Raw genomic sequence first — 23,669 nt, forward strand, 5'->3', positions numbered from 1 at the left:
ACTCCAGCCTGGCAACAGAGCAACACCCTGTCTCAAAAAATAAATAAATAAATAAAATAAGTTTCTAGAGTCCCTCCTCATGATCCGTACAGGCCTCAACAGAGACTACAGCAAAGGCTACAGATAAGGCAGCTGCTAGAAGAGAAATGGCCTTGTTACAGCAACCTTGCAGGAGCTTTCCTCTGTATTCACCTTACAGGAGCTTCCCTCTGTATTCACCTTGCAGGAGCTTCCCTCTGCATTCACCTTGCAGGGGCTTCCCTCTGTATTCACCTTGCAGGGGCTTCCCTCTATATTAAATTGGACTATTCAACAAGATTTTTAACTATAAATAGGGAATAGTTGGGTAAAATATTCCCACATTTTAAGGTCAAAGTTCCAGGGCAACAAAACCCTAGCGATTTCAATGCTACTTTACCATGGCTGTTTCCTTCTTCTCAGTATGCATTTACTGGAATGGCTTCTTTTCTTTTTTTTTTTTTTTTTTTTTTGAGACAGAGTCTCGCTCTGTTGCCCAGGCTGGAGTGCAGTGGCACGATTTCGGCTCACTGCAACCTCCACCTCCCAGGTTCAAGCAATTCTCCTGCCTCAGCCAGGCTGGTCTCGAACTCCTGACCGCAAGCGAACCGCCCACCCTGGCCTCCCAAAGTGCTGGGATTACAGGCTTGAGCCACTGTACCTGGCCTGTTAGTACTATTATCATCCAAAATAAAAATATATCCAGGCCCCAAATTTTATAAAAAGTGTCAGAATAGTTCTAGTTCTATGGAAAAGGAAGTTATGCCACACAAAAAGTTAAACTAAGCAATTTTTAAGAAATATTAGTTTCTCTAATATTTATATAAAATATAACTGGCTAAAATGTAATAATCCCCAAATTAATTACATGTACTTCTGATTTAATACATCTATGTCCAACTATAAGATATTATGTACATGATTTTTTCCTCCGAGACTCTCATCGCTATGGTTTGTCCCCCTGCAAACTCATGTTGAAATTTGATCCCCAATGTGGCACTCTTGAGAGGTGGGGCCTAGTGAGAGGTGTATGGGTCATGGGAGTGGATTCCTCATGAAGCGATTAATGTGCTCTCTGGAGGGTGAGTGAGTTCTTGCTCTCACAGGAATGGATTAGTTTCCCTGAGAGCAGGTTGGTAAAGAGTCTGGCTTCCTCAGTTTCTCTCTCTTGCTTTCTCTCATCATGTGATCTCGTCACACAGCCAGCTCCCCTTCTGTCATGATTTGAAGCAGCCTGAGGCCCTCACCAGAAAAAGATGCCCAATCTTGAACCTTCCAGCCACCAAAATCTTGACATAAATAAACCTCTTTTCTTTATAAATTACTCAGCCTCGCCGGGCGTGATGGCTCACGCCTGTAATCCCAGCCCTTTGGGAGGCTGAGGCGGGCAGATCAAGAGGTCTGGAGATCGAGACCATCCTGGCTAACACAATGAAACCCCGTCTCTACTAAAAATACAAAAACTTAGCCGGCCGTGGTGGCGGCCACCTGTCCCATCTACTCGGGAGGCTGAGGCAGGGGAATGGCGTGAACCCAGGAGGCGGAGCTTGCAGTGAGCCGAGATTGCACCACTGCACTCCAGCCTGGGCGACAGAGCAAGACTCTGTCTCAAAAAAAAAAAGGAAAAAAAAAATTAATTACTCAGTATCAGATATTTTGTTATAGCAACACAAAATGAACTAAGATAATTATGAACCTTTATGTTGTAGGGCAGATTTTTAAACATAAAAGTTAAAAGATACCAAGTGAATGATCTACGTGTTAAATGGTTATAAAATCCATCTGTTCAACTACATTCCAACCCACTCAGAATACATACATTTACAAATACAATTTATTGAGGATTAAGAGTAAAAAATTCAGTCCCACTGCTTATCATAAGTGAAAGGCTGTAAGCCAGCCCCACTTTCTGGCTTGGTGAGAGTCTGTCCCTGAGCATGGTACCTTCTTCTCTCTTATGTTGTCGGCCTGCACGGTTTCCAGGCGGGCTTTAAAGTGCTCACAATCCATTTTCAGCTGCTCTAATTCTTGCTCTTTCCTTTCCAGGTCTAGGAGAAAGACATAAAATTACTCAAGATATTTCAAGTCACTAATCTCTCCCTAAGCATCTATTTTGCCCAGTCTTGACTTAGTAAAATGTGTACTGATTTCTTAGGTGAGAATATTTGCATTTCTTGACTTCTAGCCTGTCCTTGAATAACCAATATTCTAACAGTCCTGTTCTCTAAGTTCATCTCAGTTTTTAGCCCACAGCACAAAGGACTTTGGTTGTTTTCTGTTTTGTGTTTTTAAGGTTTCACTTTACTGCCAGACTAGTACTCAAGGCTTCAAGAAAACATGTTATTTAAAGGATGGAAGGCAGAGCTGAGAAGCCCGACTGTCTCATGGCACAGACTTGTCGCTACTCCATGAAAAGCAGAAGGCAGCTCAGGGAGTGCACGGCGCCAGCACAGGCTGATTCACAAAGCTAGTGTCACCCACTGGCAGACTGACTCAATGGGAACAACTGCAGTAGTAGGCACTGGAGGAGGGAAAGAACAGTGATAAAAATGAGAAAATGCTATAGTGAAAGAGTGGAAACTATGTAATACTTCCTCTCCACCGCACTCATTTAGTTGATGAGTCAACAACAGCCAACAAAAATCCCAAAAAAATCCACGTCAATAAATCAAGCAAAAGTACTATCAACTTTAAATTTAAAATTTTATGTTGCAGAAATACTGACACTCGAAAAAACAAATATATAATACAAATTTTTAAGTGTTTGATCTCAAAAGCTAGGAAATCATCAGTTTTTATGCCAACATATACCAAGATTTGAGGGTGCTAAGAGCTAATGGTCTAACTTCTTTGATTAAAGTAGCGATGCTTTAGGACAATGATTCTCAAACTTTAGCGTACATCAGAATCCCTGGAGGACTTGATAATACAGAGTCGGCTGGGTTCCATCCACAGTTTCCAATTTGGAACGTCTGGGGTGAGCCTGAGAATTTACATTTCTAACAAGTTCCCAGATGAGACTCATGCTGCCTGTCTGGGACCCACACTTTGAGAACTACTTCTGGGCGATAACCTGGTCTCTCATCACCAATAAAATAAAATGAACATGCAACACATGACCAGCAACAGCAAACAAGGGAACCCATCCACAGGAATGTGAAAAAGCAAAAAAATGGAGAGTAATGGAAGGCAGCTACCTAATATTTGTCACATGAAGGAATTTCACTTCTTTACACATTCCCTCTCCTAATCCTTGAACTGAGAAAAACACAAGGCAACTCTGGTTATCTGTTTCATTCTTGTACTGTCACTTGCGATGAGTGAGAAAGCCTCAAAGAGCCAGGCGCCTGGAAAACGGAACATTACTCCACCCTAGAGGAGAAAAAGCTCACAGACACTTCCTCAACTATCTGCAAACAAACGAGAAGCGGGTAGGGCTTTCGAATCTAGGGGTCTGAGAGGACAAGAGGAAGCCAGAATAAGACACTTGTGGGGACTGCTTAGAACCACACGTGTATCCCCAAAGCTCTAAAGGAAATGTTAAAAAGGAAGGAAGAAAGCAAGCTAGTCTCTAAATTTTCTAGAGACCCCGTCCTAGAAGAAAAATTAGAACCTAAAAGTAAATATTCAGACCAGCTAAACATCATAAAATTGGCTGGCAAAGCTTCTCATAAAATGCGTTTCTTAGGGGCCCGGCTCGGTGGCTTATGCCTGTGTAATTACAGCACTTTGGAAAGCTGAGGTGGGAGGATCACTTGAGGCCAGGAGTTCGAGACCAGCCAGGGTAAGACTCCCATCTCTTAAAAAAAAAAAAAAAAAAGTGGTTCTCAGAAATAGAGCAGAGTGCCTTTGGACTATTTCCTCTCCCTCAAATCACAGTTTCATTTTCTGCTCTTTTAAGAAATATTGTGCCACAATGACTTTCACTGGAATTCTTGATTTTATCCTAATCCCAGCCAAAAAATCAACTAGGAAGCACTATGCTTTAAAAACTACATACTTGCATTATTTGTAACAAAGTTAAATGGAAATACATTATTTATACACATACACACTACAATCATATGAAATACCACCTATGGTCACAGACAAAAATGAACAAACTGAAAAACTGAGATGAAATTTGTGATTTAAAATTTTTTCTTTGCATTTAACTGTTAAATTTGGCTTCTACTATTAAACGGTATATTACTCAAACATGGTAAAAGAGACAGGAAATCTCTACAAGCCTTATCATGTGTAAAAACCTGTGGGAATTAACTTTGACCACCCAAAACGGCTCTCTTGCATTACGGTAATTTCATAATCACTTGTTCCAGACAGCTGTATGCAACCCTAGTGTAAGTTAACATACCAAAGGGACAGGGTTAAAACATCCCACTCTACGATAGGCAATCTCATAGAATTCCAGTCAGTCATCAGGGAGGCCACACCCATCTACGCCAGGCTCCTGGGGAGGTGACAAGTGCCCTTCTGCTGTATGAGGCCGCCACCTTGTGGCCAGATGGGAGCATTGCTGCTGCCTCGGAACAGAACCCTGACCTTGCATTTTCAACTTGGCCCCACTGCATGCATGCTACCTAAAAGCACCCTGAAGGCAGGGATTTGCATAGGTTTTCTTCTATGCCCACCCTCCAAATGTCTATATGGAATATAGTAGGCAATACATAAATATTTGTCACATAAATTTATTTCACTTCTTTATACATTCCTTCTGCTAATCTTTGAACCAAGAAAAACACATGGCTACTTTATCTGTATGTCTCATTCTCATACAATAAGAATATATTACTTTTATATTTTTTTAAGCCCAGAGACAGAAATAATATGAACAGTGAATATTACAAACAACCTAAATCATAGACCATTTAAACATCTATGTATCTTCTGAAACAACAATTTTTTTTTTCCCCGAGACGGTGTCTCTCTGTCAGTGCAGTGGCACGATCTCAGCTCACTGCAACCAACGCCTCCCAGGTTCAAGTGATCCTCTTAACTCAGCCTCCCGAGTAGCTGGGACTACAGGCGCCTGCCACCAACCACGCCTGGCTAATTTTTGTATTTTTAGTAGAGATGGGGTTTCACTATGTTGGCCAGGCTGGTCTTGAACTCCTGACCTCAAGTGATCTGCCCATCTTGGCCTCCCAAAGTGCTGGGATTACAGGCGTGAGCTGCTGCACGCAGTCCATAATCCTTTCTTAATACAGGTCTAATAACATGAGAATGGCTGTGTCTCTTGATGCTCAATTTATTCACAGGGAGGGTACAGAAAGCTAGAAAGGAAAATAAGGGTTTCTAAAACACTAATCAAAGAAAACTGCACAAACGGCGTCAATTTATCTTACCATTTCTTTATCACCTGGTATGTGAGGTCAGGAGTTCAAGAGCAGCCTAGACAACATGGCAAAACCCCATCTCTACTAAAAATACAAAAATTAGCCCAGCGTGGTGGTACACGCCCATAGTCCCAGCTACTCGGGAGGCTGAGGTATGAGGACTGCTTGAACCTGGGAGGCGGAAGTTGCAGTGAGCCAAGATCACGCCAGTGCGCTCCAGCCTGGGCGACAGAGCAAGACTTCATCTCAAAAAAAAAAAAAAAAAAAAAAAACTAAAATCAATCTTGCTGAACTCAAATTAATTCTGTTGATTTCCCAAACCAGAGTCAGGGAATTTTGCTTTTCATTCACTGACACACATATATGACATGAACAGCAGAGCGGTCACGGGTGATATTAAAACACCACACACCTCTTCCGCCTCCATCTTGACCACCTTGCCACCTTCTCTGTCCATAAGCTCCCCAAGTGTTTTTTTTCCCTCTACTTTCCTATGTTCTGGACAATCTCCACCCTGATCTGTGCCCCAAGAGGCAGATGTGAAGACCCACAGTAACAAGGCTCCCTCGTCCTATGGCTTCCTGTTGGATGCAATAGCAGCCCCGCAGGAAACTGGAGGACTAGAGAAGATGACCAAGGATGGGACATGTCTCCCCACTCCATCCTCCCTGCTGGGCTTCATCCTCCTGGGTGAGGTCCCAGGTGCTGTCAAGCATCTTGTCTGGAGCAACGCCTCTCGCCACGTCTGGTACCTCTCTCCCTTCTGCTCCTTCAGCCCAGGGGAGGCAATGGCGCTCCACTCGTTAGTTCCCGGATGCTTCTTTCTCCAGGCACTGGTTCCCCCAACCCTGATCACACTTTAATCTCTTCACTTTACTCCGTTTACTCCTTTTGTTCCCTGCCAGGATATGGATGTGACACACTCTTCATGTTCTTTTATCTGGGCCACAATAAACTCCGAGTCAAAGTAATAATCCTTTTTTGGTGCTGACTCTTTGGTTCTACTCTTCATGGATATTTCTCAAGTTCTTATTTCTACAGACTACAAATAATTCTTCCCAGAACTGAAATGGGGGTACCCCGTATCAAACTCTCAGGAAATTAATCTCAAAATATCCTACACTTTAGAAATCACATAGCGCAGTGGTTTTCAAATCCTACTGCTAAGAATCTAAGAGTACCTGGGGAACAACTACAGTCCCATAAACATTCAATTAATATCTCCATTTTACAATGTTATTTACAATTTTTATTTGGAAGTAATTTCAAATTCACAAAAACTAATGCCAAAAAAAATTCCTGTTATCTCTCTTTACCCAGACTTACCTACTATTAACATTTTGTTTGCCTCATTTGCTCATCATTCATTTATTTAATTAAAAAAATTTTTTTGAGATGGAGTTTCCCTCTGTTGCCCAGGCTGGAGTGCAGTGGCATGATCTCAACTCATTGTCACTTCTGCCTCCTGGGCTCAAGCGACTCTCCTGCCTCAGCCTCCCAAGTAGTTGGGATTACAGGTGTGCTGACCGCGCCTGGCCTTTTGTTTGTTTTTCAGTTTGGGGTTTTTTTTATTTTTTTGAAAAAAAATTTTTAAATACAAAAATGAGCCGGGCATGATGGCGCGCACCTGTAGTCCCAGCTATTCGGGAGACTGAGGCAGGAGAATGGCATGAACCAGGAAGGCTGGGGTTGCAGTGAGTCAAGATGATGCCACTGTACTCCAGCCTGGGTGACAGAGGGAGACTCCATCTCAAAAAAAAAGAAAGAAAAATCTGTTGGTCAAATATCTCACCAGCGTATCATGGCTACACTAGTTCGCATTCACTGCTGATATTTTCAATGACCAAAACAAGGCTGGTTCACATTAACATCAAAAAACATATAAACAAATTTTAAAAGGTTAAAATTATTTAACATTTTAATTATTTCAGAAATGAGGCCAACATTTTAGGTGTGCTGTCAACATACAAAAATAATTCCAGCTCCTCTGAGACTGTCAGTGAATATCTGACTGCCACTAAGGTGCCAAATTGTCAAATGCAGCATAATGCATGAAAAGTGTTTTCTGTAAGACAATGAAGATTTAAACAGACTGAATGGCTTTTTTATTATTTCTCTCCAAAATGAACAATTGCCAATCAAGGAAAGCAAAGAATTGCTCGATCTTAGCGATTTAATTGTAAAACAAAAATATCTGACTCCTCTTATTTCAAGCTTCATATCAGTTTAATTAGAAAGTGTCTTCATGTTGCTAGGTGAACTACTTCAAAACCACCATCTGCAACTCCTTATCTGTGGGATTGTGTCTTCTTGCGACTTCACAAGCAAAACTAAAAACAAACTGGATGCTGAAAGTGATCATCCAAGTACCTTCCAAAATCCCTGATACTAAATTTGTGTTTTCATCGCACCACCTTCATTGTACTTACTGATTTTATAAGTCAATGTTCTAAAACTTAATTTTAAAAACAAATACCCAGAAGATACAGTTTTCATCTATTTTACATCTAGAACCATCATATACTATTATATAATTTTTTTTTTGAGACAGAGTCTCGCTCTGTCGCCCGGGCTGGAGTGCAGTGGTGCGATCTCGGCTCACTGCAAGCTCCGCCTCTGGGGTTCACACCATTCTCCTGCCTCAGCCTCCCGAGTAGCTGGGACTACAGGCGCCCGCCACCATGCCCGGCTAATTTTTGTATTTTTAGTAGATACAGGGTTTCGCCATGTTAGCCAGGATGGTCTCGATCTCCTGACCTCGTGATCCGCCCACTTCGGCCTCCCAAAGTGCTGGGATTACAGGCATGAGCCACCGTGCCCGGCCCATAAAATTTTATTTATAAAAAATAGGATTTTCCTAGTTTTAAACAAATTTTTGATACCCACTGATTTATTCACCACTGTTGGATGAATAAAGCACAAGAAGGGATGAAAGAAAACAGAGGGTGATATCTTACTAAGTACTTAAGTGCCACTACCTTAACAAGTCAAATGGAGGTTCCTATAGTGTTTTCAGGCTTGCTTTTTTTTTTTTTTTTTTTTTTTGAGATGGAGTCTCACTTTGTCACCCAGTTTGGAGTGCAGTGGCATGATCTGAGCTCACTGCAACCTCTGCTTCCTGGGTTCAAGCGATTCTCCTGTCTCAGCCTCCTGAGTAGCCAGGATTACAGGTACATGCCATCACACCCGGCTAATTTTTGTATTTTTAGTAGAGATGGGGTTTCACCTTGTCGGCCAGTCTGGTCTCGAACTCCTGACCTCAAGTGATCTGCCAGCCTTGGCTTCCCAAAGTGTTGGGATTACAGGCGTGAGCCACCGCACCCGGCCCGGTTTACATCTCTTGCAAACATAGCTGAGTCTTACTCGAACCTCCCTAAACTTTTCCCAAACTCATGAAGTGACAATGGCCGAGCCAGAAGCTAAGCTGCTGGGCTGTGAATTGGAGTCTCTCTTCATTTCCCCAAGGGTTCACATAGTTTCCCACACCATCTGAGGAGGTGTTATTTACCAGGGACTCCTATGAGCCAGTCACAGTGGCACACACCTTACAGAGCTTATCTCATTTTAAGCTTTGCCATAGCCTATGAGGTAAGCATTACTGTCCACATTTTGTAGACACTAATCAGCAGGCAGTATATAGATGATCCTGTATCTCCATACTCTCACTGCCGATCATAAATCATGACACTTTGTCCTGACTTAACCACCAAGACTAATCAAACGTCCCTTCCATTCCATCCATACAGCCACAGTCCCACACACTAATGGAACTCACGACCTTCCTTGATGAATGCTCTAATTCATCTTCCACCCAATTCTTCAAACCTATCCTACACTCACCTATAAAAACCATTCTCCTAAAAAACGTCATTTTGATCACTATTTTGATGGTTATTTCCATGTGGTAATTTCCAGTTGACTCTCATCTCAAATTAAAAACAATCTATGATTGTCTTCCATAAACTGTTCATTTTCCATCCCTAATTCTGCTATACCCCCAATCCTTATTCCATACAGCAATCAAACACTAGCTGATGAACCTGCAATCGGTCCTGCTCAATCCCATGTGTGACTTTCACATGCCACCGCCCTGGCCTAGAATATCTCCCCTTCTCCTCCTAACAAATCATGCCTCTCCCCAGTACCCATCAACTCCCTAAGACTCTCAGGCAACACCTTCGTCAGTATTATTGCAAACTGCCATTTACCTTGCCCAGTCCTCCCAAAGGGAGATGCTGGGCTAGAGTCAAAATCAAGCCCCATTCGCTACTTGATGTGTCACCTCAATCCTCTAGCTGGCTTACAAGTTACTGTATAGCCCAAGCCCATCCAAACAAAACTATATCCACACTCTAAAAGAAACTTCTCAAATCAGGTCTACTCCTTCCCTGCCTGTATTCATTCCTACCTTCAGGTTGCCTTTAGTCACTGCTTAAGATTGGAAGCACATGGTGACTCATGCCTGTAATTCCAGCACTTTGGGAGGCCAAGGCGGGCAGATCACTTGAGGTCAGGAGATCGAGACCAGCGTGGCCAATATGGTGAAATCCTGCCTCTACTAAAAATACAAAAATTAGCCAGGCGTGATGGCAGGCGCCTGTATTCCCAGCTACTCTGGAGGCTGAGGCAGGAGAATAGCTTGAACCCGGGAGGCAGAGGTTGCAGTGAGCTGAGATCACACCACTGCACTCCAGCCTGGGAGACAGAGCCAGACACCATCAAAAAAAAAAAAAAAAAAAACAACTGGAAGTGCACATTAACCTCTAGAAGCAAAAGGAGTGGATACTGGACAATAGGGCTAGTGGGAGAGTAGAAGAATCAGTATGTCAAACGGCTCTTGCTGCCACAGTACAATCGTGAATTTCCTCTGTAGAGCTCTATTCTTAGAGTCATGTCTAGCATGATTAGTCTAGGAAGACAGGCTCGTGGGAAGGCTTGGGGAGGGCCATCAGATCTAGGCCTTATAAAAAGAAGAATTTTTATTTTTCTTGATGTTGGCTAAATGGTAAAAACTCAAAAGCCAAAATTAGATAAAAGATGCCTTAGGAGGCCACAGTAAACCTCCTGGAACCAGCCCAGCCCAATCTGATCCTTCCTTTCTGTTAACACCACGTTTCCTGGAGCACATGTGAGTTTCATGAGATAGGACTGCAAACTAGAAAGAAGGGCATCAGGCCAGGCGCAGTGGCTCATAACTGTAATCCAGTGCTTTGGGAGGCCGAGGCGGGCAGATCACCTGAGGTCAGGAGTTCAAGACTAGTCTGGCCAACGTGGTGAAACCTGGTCTCTAACTAAAAATACAAAAATTAGCTGGCGTGGTGGCACACACCTGTAATCCCAGCTACTCGGGAGACTGAGGCAAGAGAATCGCTTGAACCCAGGGGGCAGAGGTTGCAGGGTTGCAGTGAGCTGAGATCATGCCACTGCACTCAAGCCTGGGCAACAGAGTGAGACTCGGAAGAAAGAGAGAAAGAGAGACACAGAGAGAGAGAGAGAGAGAAAAGGGAAAGGAAGGGAAGGGGAAGGGAAGGGAAGGGGAAGGGAAGGGAAGGGGAAGGGAAGGGGAGGGGAGGGGAGGGAAGGGAAGGGAGAAGGAAGGAAGAGAGAGAGAGAAAGAAAGAAGGGCATGCAGAGACAGTAGGGTGCTCCCTCAAGACCGAATAATCAGCCAGGGAGATAATGACAGACAAAATCAGGGGCCGAGATAATGACAGATAAAATCAGGGGCCCTGCACTCCCAACAGCTTATAAAGTAAAATGGAAATAAAACCATGTGTCTGAAGGAAGCATAGGGTACCATGACAACATTTCAAAGGAAGATTGATCATGTCGAGGTAGTCAGATTAGGCAGTGACTCTGAGCCGGGGCTGTGCCCAATAATATAAAGCCTTTTAAGCCGTAGTATGGTTTTGCTTAGGTTTTTGGATGATAATGAGTCTGGGTGGGGTTTTTAGGTTTTTGCTCTTTATCCTAAAAACAAAGAGAAGCGTCTGAAGACTTACGCAGGTGAATGGCATCATCAGATTGAACTGCCACAAACTACTCAGGCTACAGTGTGTCTGAGGGACTGGAGAGTGGCAGTGAGGAGACCGCCAGGAGGAGGCAGAACACAGCAGTGGAGACAGACGCAGGCTGATGATTCAGGATGCATCCATGAAGTAACACTCACAAGACTTACTAGCGGACAGGTTTCATGCGGAGTAGTGAGGAAGAGAGACAGGTAACAAGGAAGACTCCTGGGTCTCTAGTCTGGGTGTTGGTGCTCTGGGGAGACTGAGGCAGGCCAGTGTAAGACAGGGGCAGGGAACAGATAGCATGAGGCAGATATGACAACAGGAAGTAAAAATCAGCTTGCACCGAGAAAGCAAAAGTCTGTCCTGACTTCTGTCAGGCTGGAATAACAAACACAGATAAAGTCAGGTGCCAAGTTAACAGAAAATATCTCTCAAAGACAATGCAACTGTAAAGTGTCATAATGACCTCTTCTTTGAGTGACTGCTAACTTCTTATTCACTGAGAAGCCTTATTCTGTAAAATCCCAGACTCGCACAAATTTTGTTCTTTGAAATTATACAAGTAAGAAGATCCCACTCTTGCCTGCAGGATCTAAGTCACTGTGACACAGAAAAGAACCCTATTTCCAGCTACTGCAGAGCTTCAAGTAAGGGATTTCTAGAACAATGTTCCACGTCTATTTGAACGTTGTAGTTTTCAAGGAAACGGGACCTGGGTCCGCTTCGCAGTCAGACTTAATATTGGTCCCTTTAGACACAGTTCTATTTTGCTTCATTTATGCTTCACCTAATACCACTCTGTCTCCAAGTCCTACAACAACTCTATCCTCTTTTTTGTTGACATGCCCCACAGTTTCTCGGTGTTCTGGTATGGTCTTCCTCACTGCAAAGAGCCATAAACCTCACTCTGTCAGACTGTGGGTCTGTTCCTGGCGACCTTAGACTGATTAGGCTAGGGCAGACATTTAGAATTTGAAATAATCATGAAACAAGCAGGAAGAAATGCCAAGTCGGAGTCAGGCACAAGGCCGTGAGCTTGGAGAGTTCTGGGCTAGAGAGTAAATCCAGCAGCCACTGGCATCAAGACGGTAACTGAAGCTGTGAGTGTGCATGAGACTGCCTAGGGAGAAGCCATGGGGTGAGGCAATGAGCGGGGCCTAGGCCTGAGTCTCAAGCCCTATTGGAAGGCTGCAAAGCAGAGAAGGATAAATTTCAGCAAAGGGGAATAAGCAGGAATTGCCAGAGAGACTATGGGGAAAAAGGTGACTCTATAGCCTGGGAAAGGCCGGGACTATGAGATAAGATCTCCCAAAGGCAGACTGTGATCAAGTGACCACAGATTTGTTTGTGGCCCTCACTCGGTTTGATTTTGGCAGCGGGACTGATCACTAAAGACACTCATGTTAACTAACTCATGAGACCCTGATGTATTTTTTAGAATGCCAGTTTATTAATTTACAGTGAGAATATAACCAACCAGCAGGCTGCCATACGCTGCTACTGGTGTATGCCTATTTACCTTCCTTTCCTGAAGATAAATGCACAAGGAATGACTAATCTCAGAAAGTTGCTGGATGAGCATGAAATCAAAACTAGAGAAATTAGAAGTCAATGACCTGGCATTCTGGCAACCAATGACACGCCATGTATCTGGCAGAGTCCCAGTGGGAAAGAGAAATCAACCCAGATGTTGAGACTTTTCTGAAGGGACCACTTACAGAGGGGAGAGCAGAGATAACAGAACCACCAAGGGACAGCGAGGTACCCAGGGACTAGCAACAGCCCTACAGCCACAGGAGCAGGGGCAGTCCAGCAAGAGCTAGGACTACGGAAGAGGCCTCTAGACAGGAGTCTCTGTTGTGGAGGGATGCAGCTACTGCCACAAAACAGCAGCAAAGCAGGGAGGGAGCAGGAAGAAACACCCCAACCTCTCTCTCCACCCAGCAATGCCTTCCATTGGTGAGCCCCACTGGCAGCCAGCAAGGGAACCAGGAGAGCCCCATCTGTAGGGATCTACCTCCCAGAGCACACCACAGGGCAGAGAAGACTGGATCCAAGGACTTCGGAGAGAATATAAACAGGACAAGGTACGGTGGATGAGAACTGTCCCTTCTAACTGGATGTGGCTGGCCCACTGACCAGATACGTTTGCACATGCCAGAAACTCATATTCTCGGGGTGAGCTATCTTCTTGTCTGGACAAGTGCTACAGCTACCTGGGCCCCCTGGATGCACCTTTTCTAGAGGGCACACAGGGAGGGATAACAACCAAATGTCATGCAGTAAATTGGCCTTTACCGTCAAAGGCTGATTTAATCATGATTTGGCCTCAATCAAGCAAGTGCTGAGACAATCTCAGAGTATGTCCAGGAACTTCAATAGGCTCCTAAACTGGTATTCAACATAACAGCTCAGCTCAAATCTCAAAAGTCTGAATGGACACCAGAAAGCCTAAACTTCAATCAGTTCTAGATACTGGCTCACCCATCCACCTAAAGATAAGTGAACACACTTCCAGCTATCTCTACTGACAAGTAAACTCCATGCAAGGTTTCCATTTGGCAAGATCCTTAACTTACACAGTAAGTACTTAATTTTCAGAATAGAGCTTTTCAGTTATCAAAAGTATAAAATTCTTCTGCCAATGAAGAGAGAGAGAAAGAGAAGCTGTTAATAGATGCTCAGAAAACTGGCAACCAACTTATACCAACTTACATATGTCCAAGTCACTACACTGAGGAAACCTCCCTTTCTTAGGTCATCAGACTCTCCCAAATATCATCACAAGGACTGTAAGAGTACCTTAAAATTCGTTTACAATTATTTACCTAGGGTAAATCTGCTAGAACAAATTACTGTTACCACCAATGACTGCTGAAAATGAAGACTCACTTTTTTCTACAATCTTTAATTTCTGGAAGCTCTCCAGCACCTCCCCATTTAGTATTCTGGGTAAGAAGTCCCGTATTTGCATCACTTCAGTTGTCAGCCGTTCCAGATCCTTCTTTCTGACTTTAACAAATTCCTCTTTAGTTCCCATGTGCTAAAAGAACAAGCAGATCTTATTATATTTCTCTTCACATGAGAAAAAAAACAACAGCTCAAGTTAACTTGCTTTTCTTTCACACCTCTTATGTGCATCGTTGTTTCAAATCATGTCTCTACCTACTGTATATTCTGCTATAGATATATTTTATGTACATACAAACATTTTGAAAGCTGAAGCTTCAGCCTTCAAAAAGGGAGCCAGATGTTAAAAATAATAAGGACAAACAGGCCAGGCATGGTGGCTCACACTTGAAATCCCAGGAATTTGGGAGGCCAGGAGTTCAAGACCAGTCTGAGCAACATGGAGAGACCCTGTCACTACAAAAATATGAAAACGTGCCCAGGAGGCCCGGCGCAGTGGCTCACGCCTGTAATCCCAGCACTTTGGGAGGCCGAGGCGGGTGGATCACCTGAGGTCAGGAGTTCAAGACCAGCCTGACCAGTATGGTGAAACTCCATCTCACTAAAAATACAAAAATTAGCCAGGTGTGGTGGCCGGCGCCTGTACGCAGCAGGCTGACACGGGAAGAAGGCTTGAGCTCAGGAGTTGGAGGCTGCAGTGAGCTATGATCGTGCCACTGCACTCCAGTCTGGGCAACAGAGCAAGACCACGAAAAAGAAAAGTCATACAAGAGCTCTATTCCTAAAAGTCAAAGAAAACGCCTGCAACTTTTTATCACTGCAGCACCAAACTAATCAGGAGGAAAAGGAAGTCATCTGGTTTCCTACTGGGTTTGCCAAGCCCTCCGCCCGTGATCTCATCTACTATTCACCCCAAGCCTCCAAGATTGTCTAGATGGAAATTAAGGCACGGGAGCTAGATGACTCTCAATGCAGCACAATTAATAACGGGTGGAAGCAGGATGTGAACACGGATCTGGCCCCAGTCCAAGCGCCTTCTCCATCGCATGCAATCAGTTACAGTTATAAAATCGATGGAGGGCAGATTCTCTCTAAGCCTGACGCTAAGTCCCGAAGCAGGGGGCCAGGGCCTTCGGAGGGGAACTGGGCTTCCACGGAGCAGAGAAGAGAGTGACCATCCATCCCACGCTCCCATGCCCGCTTTGGCGCCACTGAGTGCCCCCACCACGCGCAGCCTCACAGACCGGGTCCCCGCGTGGGTTTGGAGGCGAAGTCGCCTCCCGCCCCAGGTCTCCACCCCGCTCCGGCCCAGCCCACGCCGTTAGGGGAGGAAGTCTCCAGGCTTCCCCCAAGCACGCGACAGCGAGCCGTCTCCGAGCGCACGGGGCGAGGCCCTGAGGGGAGCGAATGGCGACGGTTCAAACACGCTGGCGTCGGCCAGGGCTTCCTCACTAACCCGGCAGGCCTCCTCAGCGGCGCCCGCTTCGCCCATGGCCGCTGCCGCCTCCGCTCCGTTCGCCTGAGCGTCGGCGCGCCCTCTGACCCCTCACGCCAGAAAGCGCGGGAACGAATCCACGCCGGGGGTCGGGAACGGAGAGCCGCCAGGCCCAAACCTCCCAGAATTTGCGCAGTATTCTCGGCCTAGAGAGCGAGGAGTGGCCTTGGCGAGGTCCCTCTTTGGCTCTTCTGGCTTAGCCGGGGTTTTAAACTTGTTATCTGCAAAGCAGAAGGAAAGTCAGCCCCTGATGTAAGTGTCAAGTAAAATAAATCGGATGGGTCCTTTCCTGTTTGGCGAGGAATGCTACACTAAGGGGGACTGCGTTCAAATGGGCAGTCTTTGCTGGAAACCTCGCCTCCGCGCGCCTTCCCTCGCTCGGATTCAGGCGCTTTTACGTTAAGGGTTGAATTTTTGTGTCAACAGGCACCTCGGGAGGTCGCCTAGACAACTGAGCGGAGCAACTGAGATAACCCCCGCTACGTGTGGAGTGACCTAGTCCATTAACTTGCCCCAGCACGCCCGCTGAGTCCGCAAAATATAGGATGGCCTCGGGTTTTAGATGAACCCAAAGCTAAGATTTCTTCCCTCTCTGGAATTAGCAAGCAGCCCGCCCTGCCCAACTCCCCTGGAAGCGCGCGTGCTCGCCAGGCCTCGGGACGCCTGCGCGGGCGCCCTTGCACTGGCACCAGGGCTCCGGGGTAGGGGCGCACCGATCTGCCCAAGCCTCTGCAGGCACTGGAGGAAGGCGAGCCCTCCACCCGCTCAACAGGCCCCAGTGCCGGCCTTTCCTTCCAGTCTCAACTCCACCCGGGGGCCCGGGGGCTCCACAGTTAAAAACTCCACGCCACGGAGATCGCAGGTAAGCTGCTGGCTCAACGAGGTGTGCTAAATGGGATTAAAGATCCTGGACCGTGGCCAGGCGCGGCGGCTCAAGCCTGTAATCCCAGCGATCAGGGAGGCCGCCGCGGGAGGATTGCTTGAGCCCAGGAGTTTGAGACCAGCTTGGGCAACATAGCGAGACACCGTCTCTACAAAAAAATAACAAATAGTGGGGCGTGATGGCGCGCGCCTGTAGTCTCAGCTACTTGGGCGGTCGAGATGGGAGGATCGATCGAGTCTGGGAGGTCGAGGCTGCAGTGAGCCAGGATCACCGCCAAGATCGCGCCACTGCATTCCAGCCTGGGCGACAGAGGGAGACCCTGTCTCAAAAACAAACAAAAAATCCTAGACCGTTTACAAACAGCCTTCCGTCTCTTCCTGGTCAAGTCCTAACCCTGGCTAACCTCGCCGTCTACAGCCTGAATTTTGGCAACCGAAAGGCAGCGCCGGCGCCACGTGCACACGGGCTGGGCCGCTCCGCCAGCTGCCAGGGCCACTGCCGCGCTCACTCCCAGAGCGCGCTGCGAGCCGCGGCGCCTTTGTGACGCCATCAGCCCGCGCGCCGCCGCCGCCGCCTTCTGTGCAGTCGCGGCCCGGGCGGACGGTGGCTGGCTGCTCCGCAGCGCTCGGCTGGCTGCAGCGGCACCGCGGGTTGCGCGGCCGGGGATGCTCCAGCGGGCGCGATGGCCCCCGCCATGCAGCCGGCCGAGATCCAATTTGCCCAGCGGCTGGCGTCCAGCGAGAAGGGCATCCGGGACCGAGCGGTGAAGAAGCTGCGCCAGTACATCAGCGTGAAGACGCAGAGGGAGACAGGTGGGCGCACGGCCGCGGTCAGCCGCGCCACATGGCGGGCCGGGGGCCGGGGCTGGGGCTAGGGCCAGGGCCCCGGCACGGAATGCGGCTTCCACGTGTTGTCGTGACACCCAGCGTGTGCTTCGGTTTCCGCGCTGCCGGAACCGCTTCTTGCTGTGTCTAGTGCCTTTTTACACTTAAGGAAACGGGTTGAGGGGGTTCCGTTACTTATGAAAGTCACAGTAAGCGGGGAAGCTGAGAAAAGACCCACATGGGTCCGATTCCCCAGCCGGCATCTCGAATCACTGGGCTGCCCTGATTTGCCCTGGTGTCCGGTCGGTGATTGCCGCCTTCCTTTGACCAGCACCTTTACGTGACGGGGCTGCAGGAGAGAAGACAGACAAAATCACTACCCTCGAGGATCTATTAGTAATAAAGCAAGGAGGCAAACAGGCAAATAAAGTAGACCTTGTGTAAGTGTAGTAAAGGAAATGAAAACCAGGTAGCAGGCCGGGCGCGGTGTCTCACGCATGTAATCCCAGCACTCTGGGAAGCCGAGGCGGGCGGATCACCTGAGGTCGGGAGTTCGAGACCAGCCGGACCAACATGGTGAAACCCCGGCTCTACTAAAAATACAGAATTAGCCGGGCATGGTGGCGCATGCCTGTAATCTCAGTACTCGGGAGGCTGAGGCAGGAGAATCGCTTGAACCTGGGAGGCGGAGGTTGCGGTGAGCCGAGATCGCAGCATTGCACTCCGGCCTGGGCAACAAGAGCGAAACTCCGTCTCAAAAAGAAAAGAAAAGAAAAAAGGAAAAAGAAAACCAGATAATAGCAAAAAGGGAAGGAGGTTGCTCTTCTTGATAGGCTGTTCTGGGAAGGCCTCTCTGGGCTGATAATCAGCTCAGATCTGAAGAGAAATGAGCGGAAACCGCCTATGCAGAGGCAGGAAAGAGCTTCACGTGCCCTAGGAGTGGTTTGAAAGACCAATAAGTTGGGGTTGGGGGGGCGAGTGTTATGAGATGAAGTTGGAGATGTAGGCAGTGGCCAGATCACACAGGGCTTTGTAGTTTAGATTTTAACGGCACTGCTGTTGGATGATTTCATTTACCTGATCCAAAAATACTTTCTATAAACTCTTGAGTGAGCCCATACAATATGAACTACAATGTGTAATAGAGGTTTTAAGATAAAGTTTTATTTAGTTACTGATGGTACTAATACATTTAGAATCTGCTTAAAAGAACAGATATTATCTCCCCCATCACTGACATTCTCAGTTTGTTTTATTTTTAAGAGAAATCACCAGACTACCCAAAAAAAGAAAATACACTTTCCTGGGAAGTCTGATAGAAAAAGGAATAAAGACCAAAATTCCTGACTTTGATTCTGTTAAGAATCTCCCCAAGAGATTTTGTTTAGTCTCACAGTTCCAGGTACCCCATATATGCTGGTGGTTTCTAAACCTAAATTGTTGTCCCAGCCCATTCCTACTTGCAGCTCGGATGTGCCTTGCTAGCCTGGCTTCTCTACCTGGCACCTCACACTCAGGATGCCAAAAAAAGTTCTGTTTTCTTTCCCCGAAATCCTGTTCTCTGCTGCTGCTCCACTGCCACCTGTTTTCTTTTCTTTTGGTTGCTGGTTCCCACCAGCCATTCAGATTCCAGCCGGACACACGGGATTGTCCTGGACTCCTCTGAATTCCTCATCCTCTTCCCCTGGCCCACATCCAGTGGGAGGACCCCCGTCCTCCCTCGTTCACCTCCTGATGACATAAATTCTTGACCGTGGGCTCTTTGTATCTCACCGAAACTTCTGCGCCCGCATATTCCCCAACTGGTCTCCTTAACTTCACTTGTGTCCCCAGGAATCTGTCCTCCACAGACCAGCCCAGGGTCATCTTCCTAAAACAAATCTGATCCCACATCACCAATATTTTTTGAAATTCAGTGTCTGCAAGTCATGATCTGTCCTCAGGTGCTCTTCCTGCCTAAGCCCCGTGTAACTGCTTCATGTTCCGTCAACAGAATCGGTGATGGTTCTTGGTGTACAGCACACAATTTCTCACCTCTCTGCCTTTGCTTCTCCTGTTCACTCTGCAAAGAATCCCACACCTTCTTCACTGCCAGCATTCAGTTCAGTATCACTTCCTTCAAAAAGCCTCGCCTAGCATCTTGCCCTACTCCTCCAGGGTTCTAAAACATCCATTGTGTCTCTGTTGTAGCACTTAGCTACATTGCTTCTTAATTATCAATGTGTCATCCTTCTCCCGAAACACCGTAAGCTTCCATCTGTTTTCTTAGCCAGAAGTGGGAGTACATGCAACCGTAAAAGGTCTTGGCCTGTACAAGAGTGGAAGACCAGAGGCAATACTTACGGTGCTAAGACAGCCTAGACAGAGCCTTTTGCTCAAACCCTTTGGTGAGCCAGCCCAGGATTTGCAAATGCAGAGGTTATGCGGGGGCCTAAGACCAGTTTACACCAGTGCTCCAGAGTCCTGTCTGGTTAGTGCCTATCACACCCAGAGTGACTTGTCTTGTATATCTTGTTCACCACCACATTGCATGGAGTACAGTGGACCTTCAGAAAATAACTCCGCAGCATGAACGTCGTGGACAGTGATAATGGGACAAGAAAACACAAGGTCTCCACCACAGCTATGCCCCATCACAATTACAGCACAAGTTTGGAAATAACTTGGCCTGACATTCGACTCCCGATGACAGGCTCCAACTTTTCTGCATCTTGTCTTAGGCATCATAAAGGAAATGTGAGCTATCACTCTTCCTGAAACATGAGCTGTTCTGCAGCAACATCAATAGATAGCTTTGTCATTTTAAAAATAAATTGGAAATCTTTGTATTGCTTTAAGTAACAGTGTTGCGCTCTTGCTTTAACTGTTCAAGTTGGGTGCTCACAGTCATAAAATGATCACTCTCCATGGCTTTCATCCATAAGAGCTTATTTGTCCCAATTCATTCATTCATTCATATATTTAGCAAACATTTATGGAGTGCCAACTGTGTACTATTATGTACGCTATTCTTGGCACTGGGAATATAGCAGTGAACAAAACAGACCATCCCTGCCTATCTTATCAGTTCTGCAACTTTAAAAATATTGACTAAAATGGGGAGGCATCCCAAAATCAACCCAGTGACAATTTCATTTGTATCATTGCTTTCTTTTTGGCAGCATACAAAATAACAGTACATCTTATGGTTGATGCTATATTAGATTCAGTGTAGATGATGGAGGATATAAGTTTTTTTATAATGATGGGGTTAGGGTTCTCTCTATCCAAGAGTTATAATAAATAGAAGTTGTGGATGTTCTGACACTGGGGTGTGTTCAAGTTTAACACTTTACCCCCATCTAAAATGGCTTCTGGGCTCATTGCGTGGTGAGAGTGGCTGTTGGATTTGCTCATTTCAAAACTTACTAATATTTCACATGTCTACATGTCTCACTTTGATGTTTACCTCGTTTGTTTTGTGTGTTTTTGTTTTTTGAGACAGAGTTTCACTCTTTCACCCAGGCTGAAGTGCAACAGCGCGATCTCTGCTAACTGCAACCTCCACCTTCCAGTTTCAAGCAATTCTCCCGCCTCACCCTCCCGAGTAGCGAGCGCCCACCACCACGCCTGGCTAATTTTTGTGTTTTTAGTAGAGACGGTGTTTCACCATGTTGGCCAGGCTGGTCTTGAGCTCCTGACCTCATGATCCGCCCGCCTAGGCCTCTCAAAGTGCTGGGATTACAGGTGTGAGCCACACCGTGCCCAGCCTTTGTTTTTGTTTTTTTGAGAGACAGAGACTTGCTCTGTCGCCCAGGCTGGAGTGCAGTGGCACAATCTCGGCTCACTGCAACCTCCACCTCCCAGGTTCAAGCGATTATCCTGCCTCAGCTTCCCAAGTAGCTGGGACTACAGGCATGCACCACCATGCCCAGCTAATTTTTGTATTTTTTTAGTAGAGACAGGGTTTCACTCTATGATGGCCAGGCTGGTCTTGAACTCCTGACCTCAGGTGATCTGCCCACCTCGGTCTCCCAAAGTGCTGGGATTACAGAAGTGAGCCACTGTACCTGGCCTACCTCATTCATTTTGAAATAAATAAACCTATATTGTATTGTTGTAAAAACAGTAGTATTAAGTTTAAGAAATTTAGCCCCAAGAAGAAAATAGAGAAGACAAGACTGATGAAACCAAACTGCTTCAGATAATGTACTTTGCCTTTCAGAGCTTTGAAAGTAATTCAGTAATGAGCATTTCTCTCTTTTACTTTGAATACTTCAAAAATTGGTGGCTTGTTTTTATTAGATTCCTAGGTGAACACACACACACAGACATAAATGGAAAATAGATGTTTTAAAAGGGAACAAAATGGGCCGGGCGCAGTGGCTCACGCCTGTAATCCCAACACTTTGGGAAGCCGAGGCGGGTGGATCACCTGAGGTTGGGAGGCTGAGGGAGGAAAATCACCTGAACCCGGGAGGCAGTGAACCAAGATCGCACCATTGCACTGCAGCCTGGGCAACAAGAGTAAAACTCCGTCTCAAAAAAAAAAAAAAAAAGAAAAAGAAAAAAGGGAACAAAATGTAAAATGTATTCCTAGGAATAGAAAGTGAGACAATTATTATTGTAATCTCTCACCAACTCAATAGTGCTTTGTTCTTACAGTGTTTCACACGTCTTGGGCTTGACCCTAACAATAAATCTTTCATATAGTATAGGTGATAGAACTGAGGCCCAAAAGTCAGTTGACAGTTTTCTGATACTGGGCCCCTGTCAGCAGGAAGCTGGGGCCTGAGCCAAGGTTTGTTTCCGTGCTACTCTGTTGCCTCCTAGAAAAGAGACAATCAGAGTATCTTTTCTCATTGTATTAGCCTGTTCTCACGCTGCTAATAAAGACACTCCGGAGACTGGGTAATTTATAAAGGAAATAGGTTTAATGGACTCACAGTTCCACATGGCTGGGGAGGCCTCACAATCATGGCAGACAGCAAAGGAGAAACAAAGCAAAGGCAGGTCATCCATGGCGGCAGGCAAGCGGGTATGTGCAGGAGAGCTCCCCTTTATAAAACCGTTAGATCTCATGAGACTTATTCAGTCTCACGAGAACAGCATGAGAAAAACCCGTCCCCGTGATTCAGTTACCTCCCACTGGGTCCCTCCCACCACGTGGGGATTATTACAATTCAAGGTGAGATTTGGGTGGGGACACAGCCAACCCATATTACTCACCCAGCCCACTTTGCTGCCCACTGTCCAGGGTCTGTTGTCACTCCGTCAGAATCTACTGTTTTCCATTATGAACGCCTCTGTAGCACATCATACTGTGCCTTTGCCTGTTACAGGTGTGGGCTATCCATAGCAGATGCTAGGCAGACCACATTATCACTTACTGTTGGCTTGACCCAATGGTATACTTACAAAACCATCTGGAAATAAATATGCTGTTTTTAAGTGAGAAAGACCAGAATACAGAATATTATGCCATTTAGGTCACACACACAACTGTGCTTTTCTGCACTACCTGTAACTGTTCTGTAAATAAATGCCCAGGAAAGATCTGGAAAGATACACATCAGACAGGTTGCATCAGTCCCTCTGGTTCAGAGCCTGGGATTCAGGAGGCAGGGAGCAAGACAAGCTTGTGATTATATCACTTTGATGGTGGTAAGGTTCTTTGCAATAAACGTGTTTTTATTAGTTAGGACTCTTTCAGTTGCAACTTGACAGAACATCTACGCCATGCTAGTTTTATTTTATTTTATTTATTTGTTTATTTTTTGAGATGGAGTCTTGCTCTGTCGCTCAGGCTGGAGTGCAGTGGTGCGATCTTGGCTCACTGAAACCTCCGCCTCCTGGGTTCCAGCGGAACCCTTGGTGCCATTCTCAGGATTAAATGAGCGCGCACTCCTAGTTCCTGTGGGATCTGACTGTTAAAGAGCCTGGCACCTTCCTCCTCCCTTGCTATGTGACATGACAACTCCCCTTCCCCTCCAGCCAAGATGGGACACTCCCTGAGGTCCTCACCAGAAGCAGATGCTGGAGCCATGCTTGTACAGCCTGCAGAGCCTCGAGCCAAATAAACCTCTTAGCGTCAGGTGTTCCTTTATAGCAGCGCAACAGACTAAGACAGTGATGCAACTGGAAGTGCAGGAGCATTAACCAGCTTAAACCCAAAGAGAGGATTTGAAGGACCCAGGTTACTGCATGGGG

The 23,669-nt window shown here is 46.2% G+C and overlaps 2 protein-coding genes across 18 annotated transcripts in view, besides 3 other annotated features; one reads left to right on the plus strand and one right to left on the minus strand.

The window, feature by feature from the left end:
• Positions 1–17,162, minus strand: part of HSF2BP (heat shock transcription factor 2 binding protein) — a 214,517-nt gene extending 197,355 nt beyond the window's left edge. For 12 of the 17 annotated variants that reach the window (XR_007067782.1, XR_007067781.1, XR_007067780.1 and 9 more), the window contains exons 1-4: positions 17,060–17,162; positions 15,735–15,994; positions 14,261–14,411; positions 1,963–2,066 (exon numbers count right to left, since the gene is read on the minus strand). Coding sequence is in view for 14 of the 17 variants with exons in the window: in XM_017028269.2 (XP_016883758.1) it covers positions 1,963–2,066; positions 14,261–14,411; positions 15,735–15,770 (291 nt within the window). In the remaining 3 variants the exon portion in view is untranslated. Of the gene's footprint in view, positions 1–1,962; positions 2,067–14,260; positions 14,412–15,734 lie in introns of all 17 variants that reach the window. The other 5 variants (XM_047440674.1, XM_047440675.1, XM_047440679.1 and 2 more) reach the window with 2 other exon arrangements.
• RRP1B (ribosomal RNA processing 1B) overlaps positions 17,234–23,669 on the plus strand; it is a 36,520-nt gene continuing 30,084 nt past the window's right edge. Inside the window, exon 1 of the mRNA NM_015056.3 lies at positions 17,234–17,468. Within this exon, the coding sequence (NP_055871.1) occupies positions 17,339–17,468 (130 nt within the window). The 5' untranslated portion in view covers positions 17,234–17,338. The remainder of the gene's footprint in view (positions 17,469–23,669) is intronic.
• Positions 17,267–17,456: a silencer, noted in NCBI's record as "silent region_13362". NCBI's record gives its function as "represses an Ori minimal core promoter by ATAC-STARR-seq in GM12878 lymphoblastoid cells {active_cell/tissue: GM12878}" and the evidence as "EXISTENCE:reporter gene assay evidence [ECO:0000049][PMID:35858748]".
• Positions 18,177–18,226: an enhancer, noted in NCBI's record as "active region_18544". NCBI's record gives its function as "activates an Ori minimal core promoter by ATAC-STARR-seq in GM12878 lymphoblastoid cells {active_cell/tissue: GM12878}" and the evidence as "EXISTENCE:reporter gene assay evidence [ECO:0000049][PMID:35858748]".
• Positions 20,976–21,035: an enhancer, noted in NCBI's record as "active region_18545". NCBI's record gives its function as "activates an Ori minimal core promoter by ATAC-STARR-seq in GM12878 lymphoblastoid cells {active_cell/tissue: GM12878}" and the evidence as "EXISTENCE:reporter gene assay evidence [ECO:0000049][PMID:35858748]".

The sequence above is a fragment of the Homo sapiens genome, chromosome 21 (genome assembly GCF_000001405.40).
Source record: "Homo sapiens chromosome 21, GRCh38.p14 Primary Assembly".
In the NCBI taxonomy this organism is placed as follows: Eukaryota; Metazoa; Chordata; class Mammalia; order Primates; family Hominidae; genus Homo; species Homo sapiens.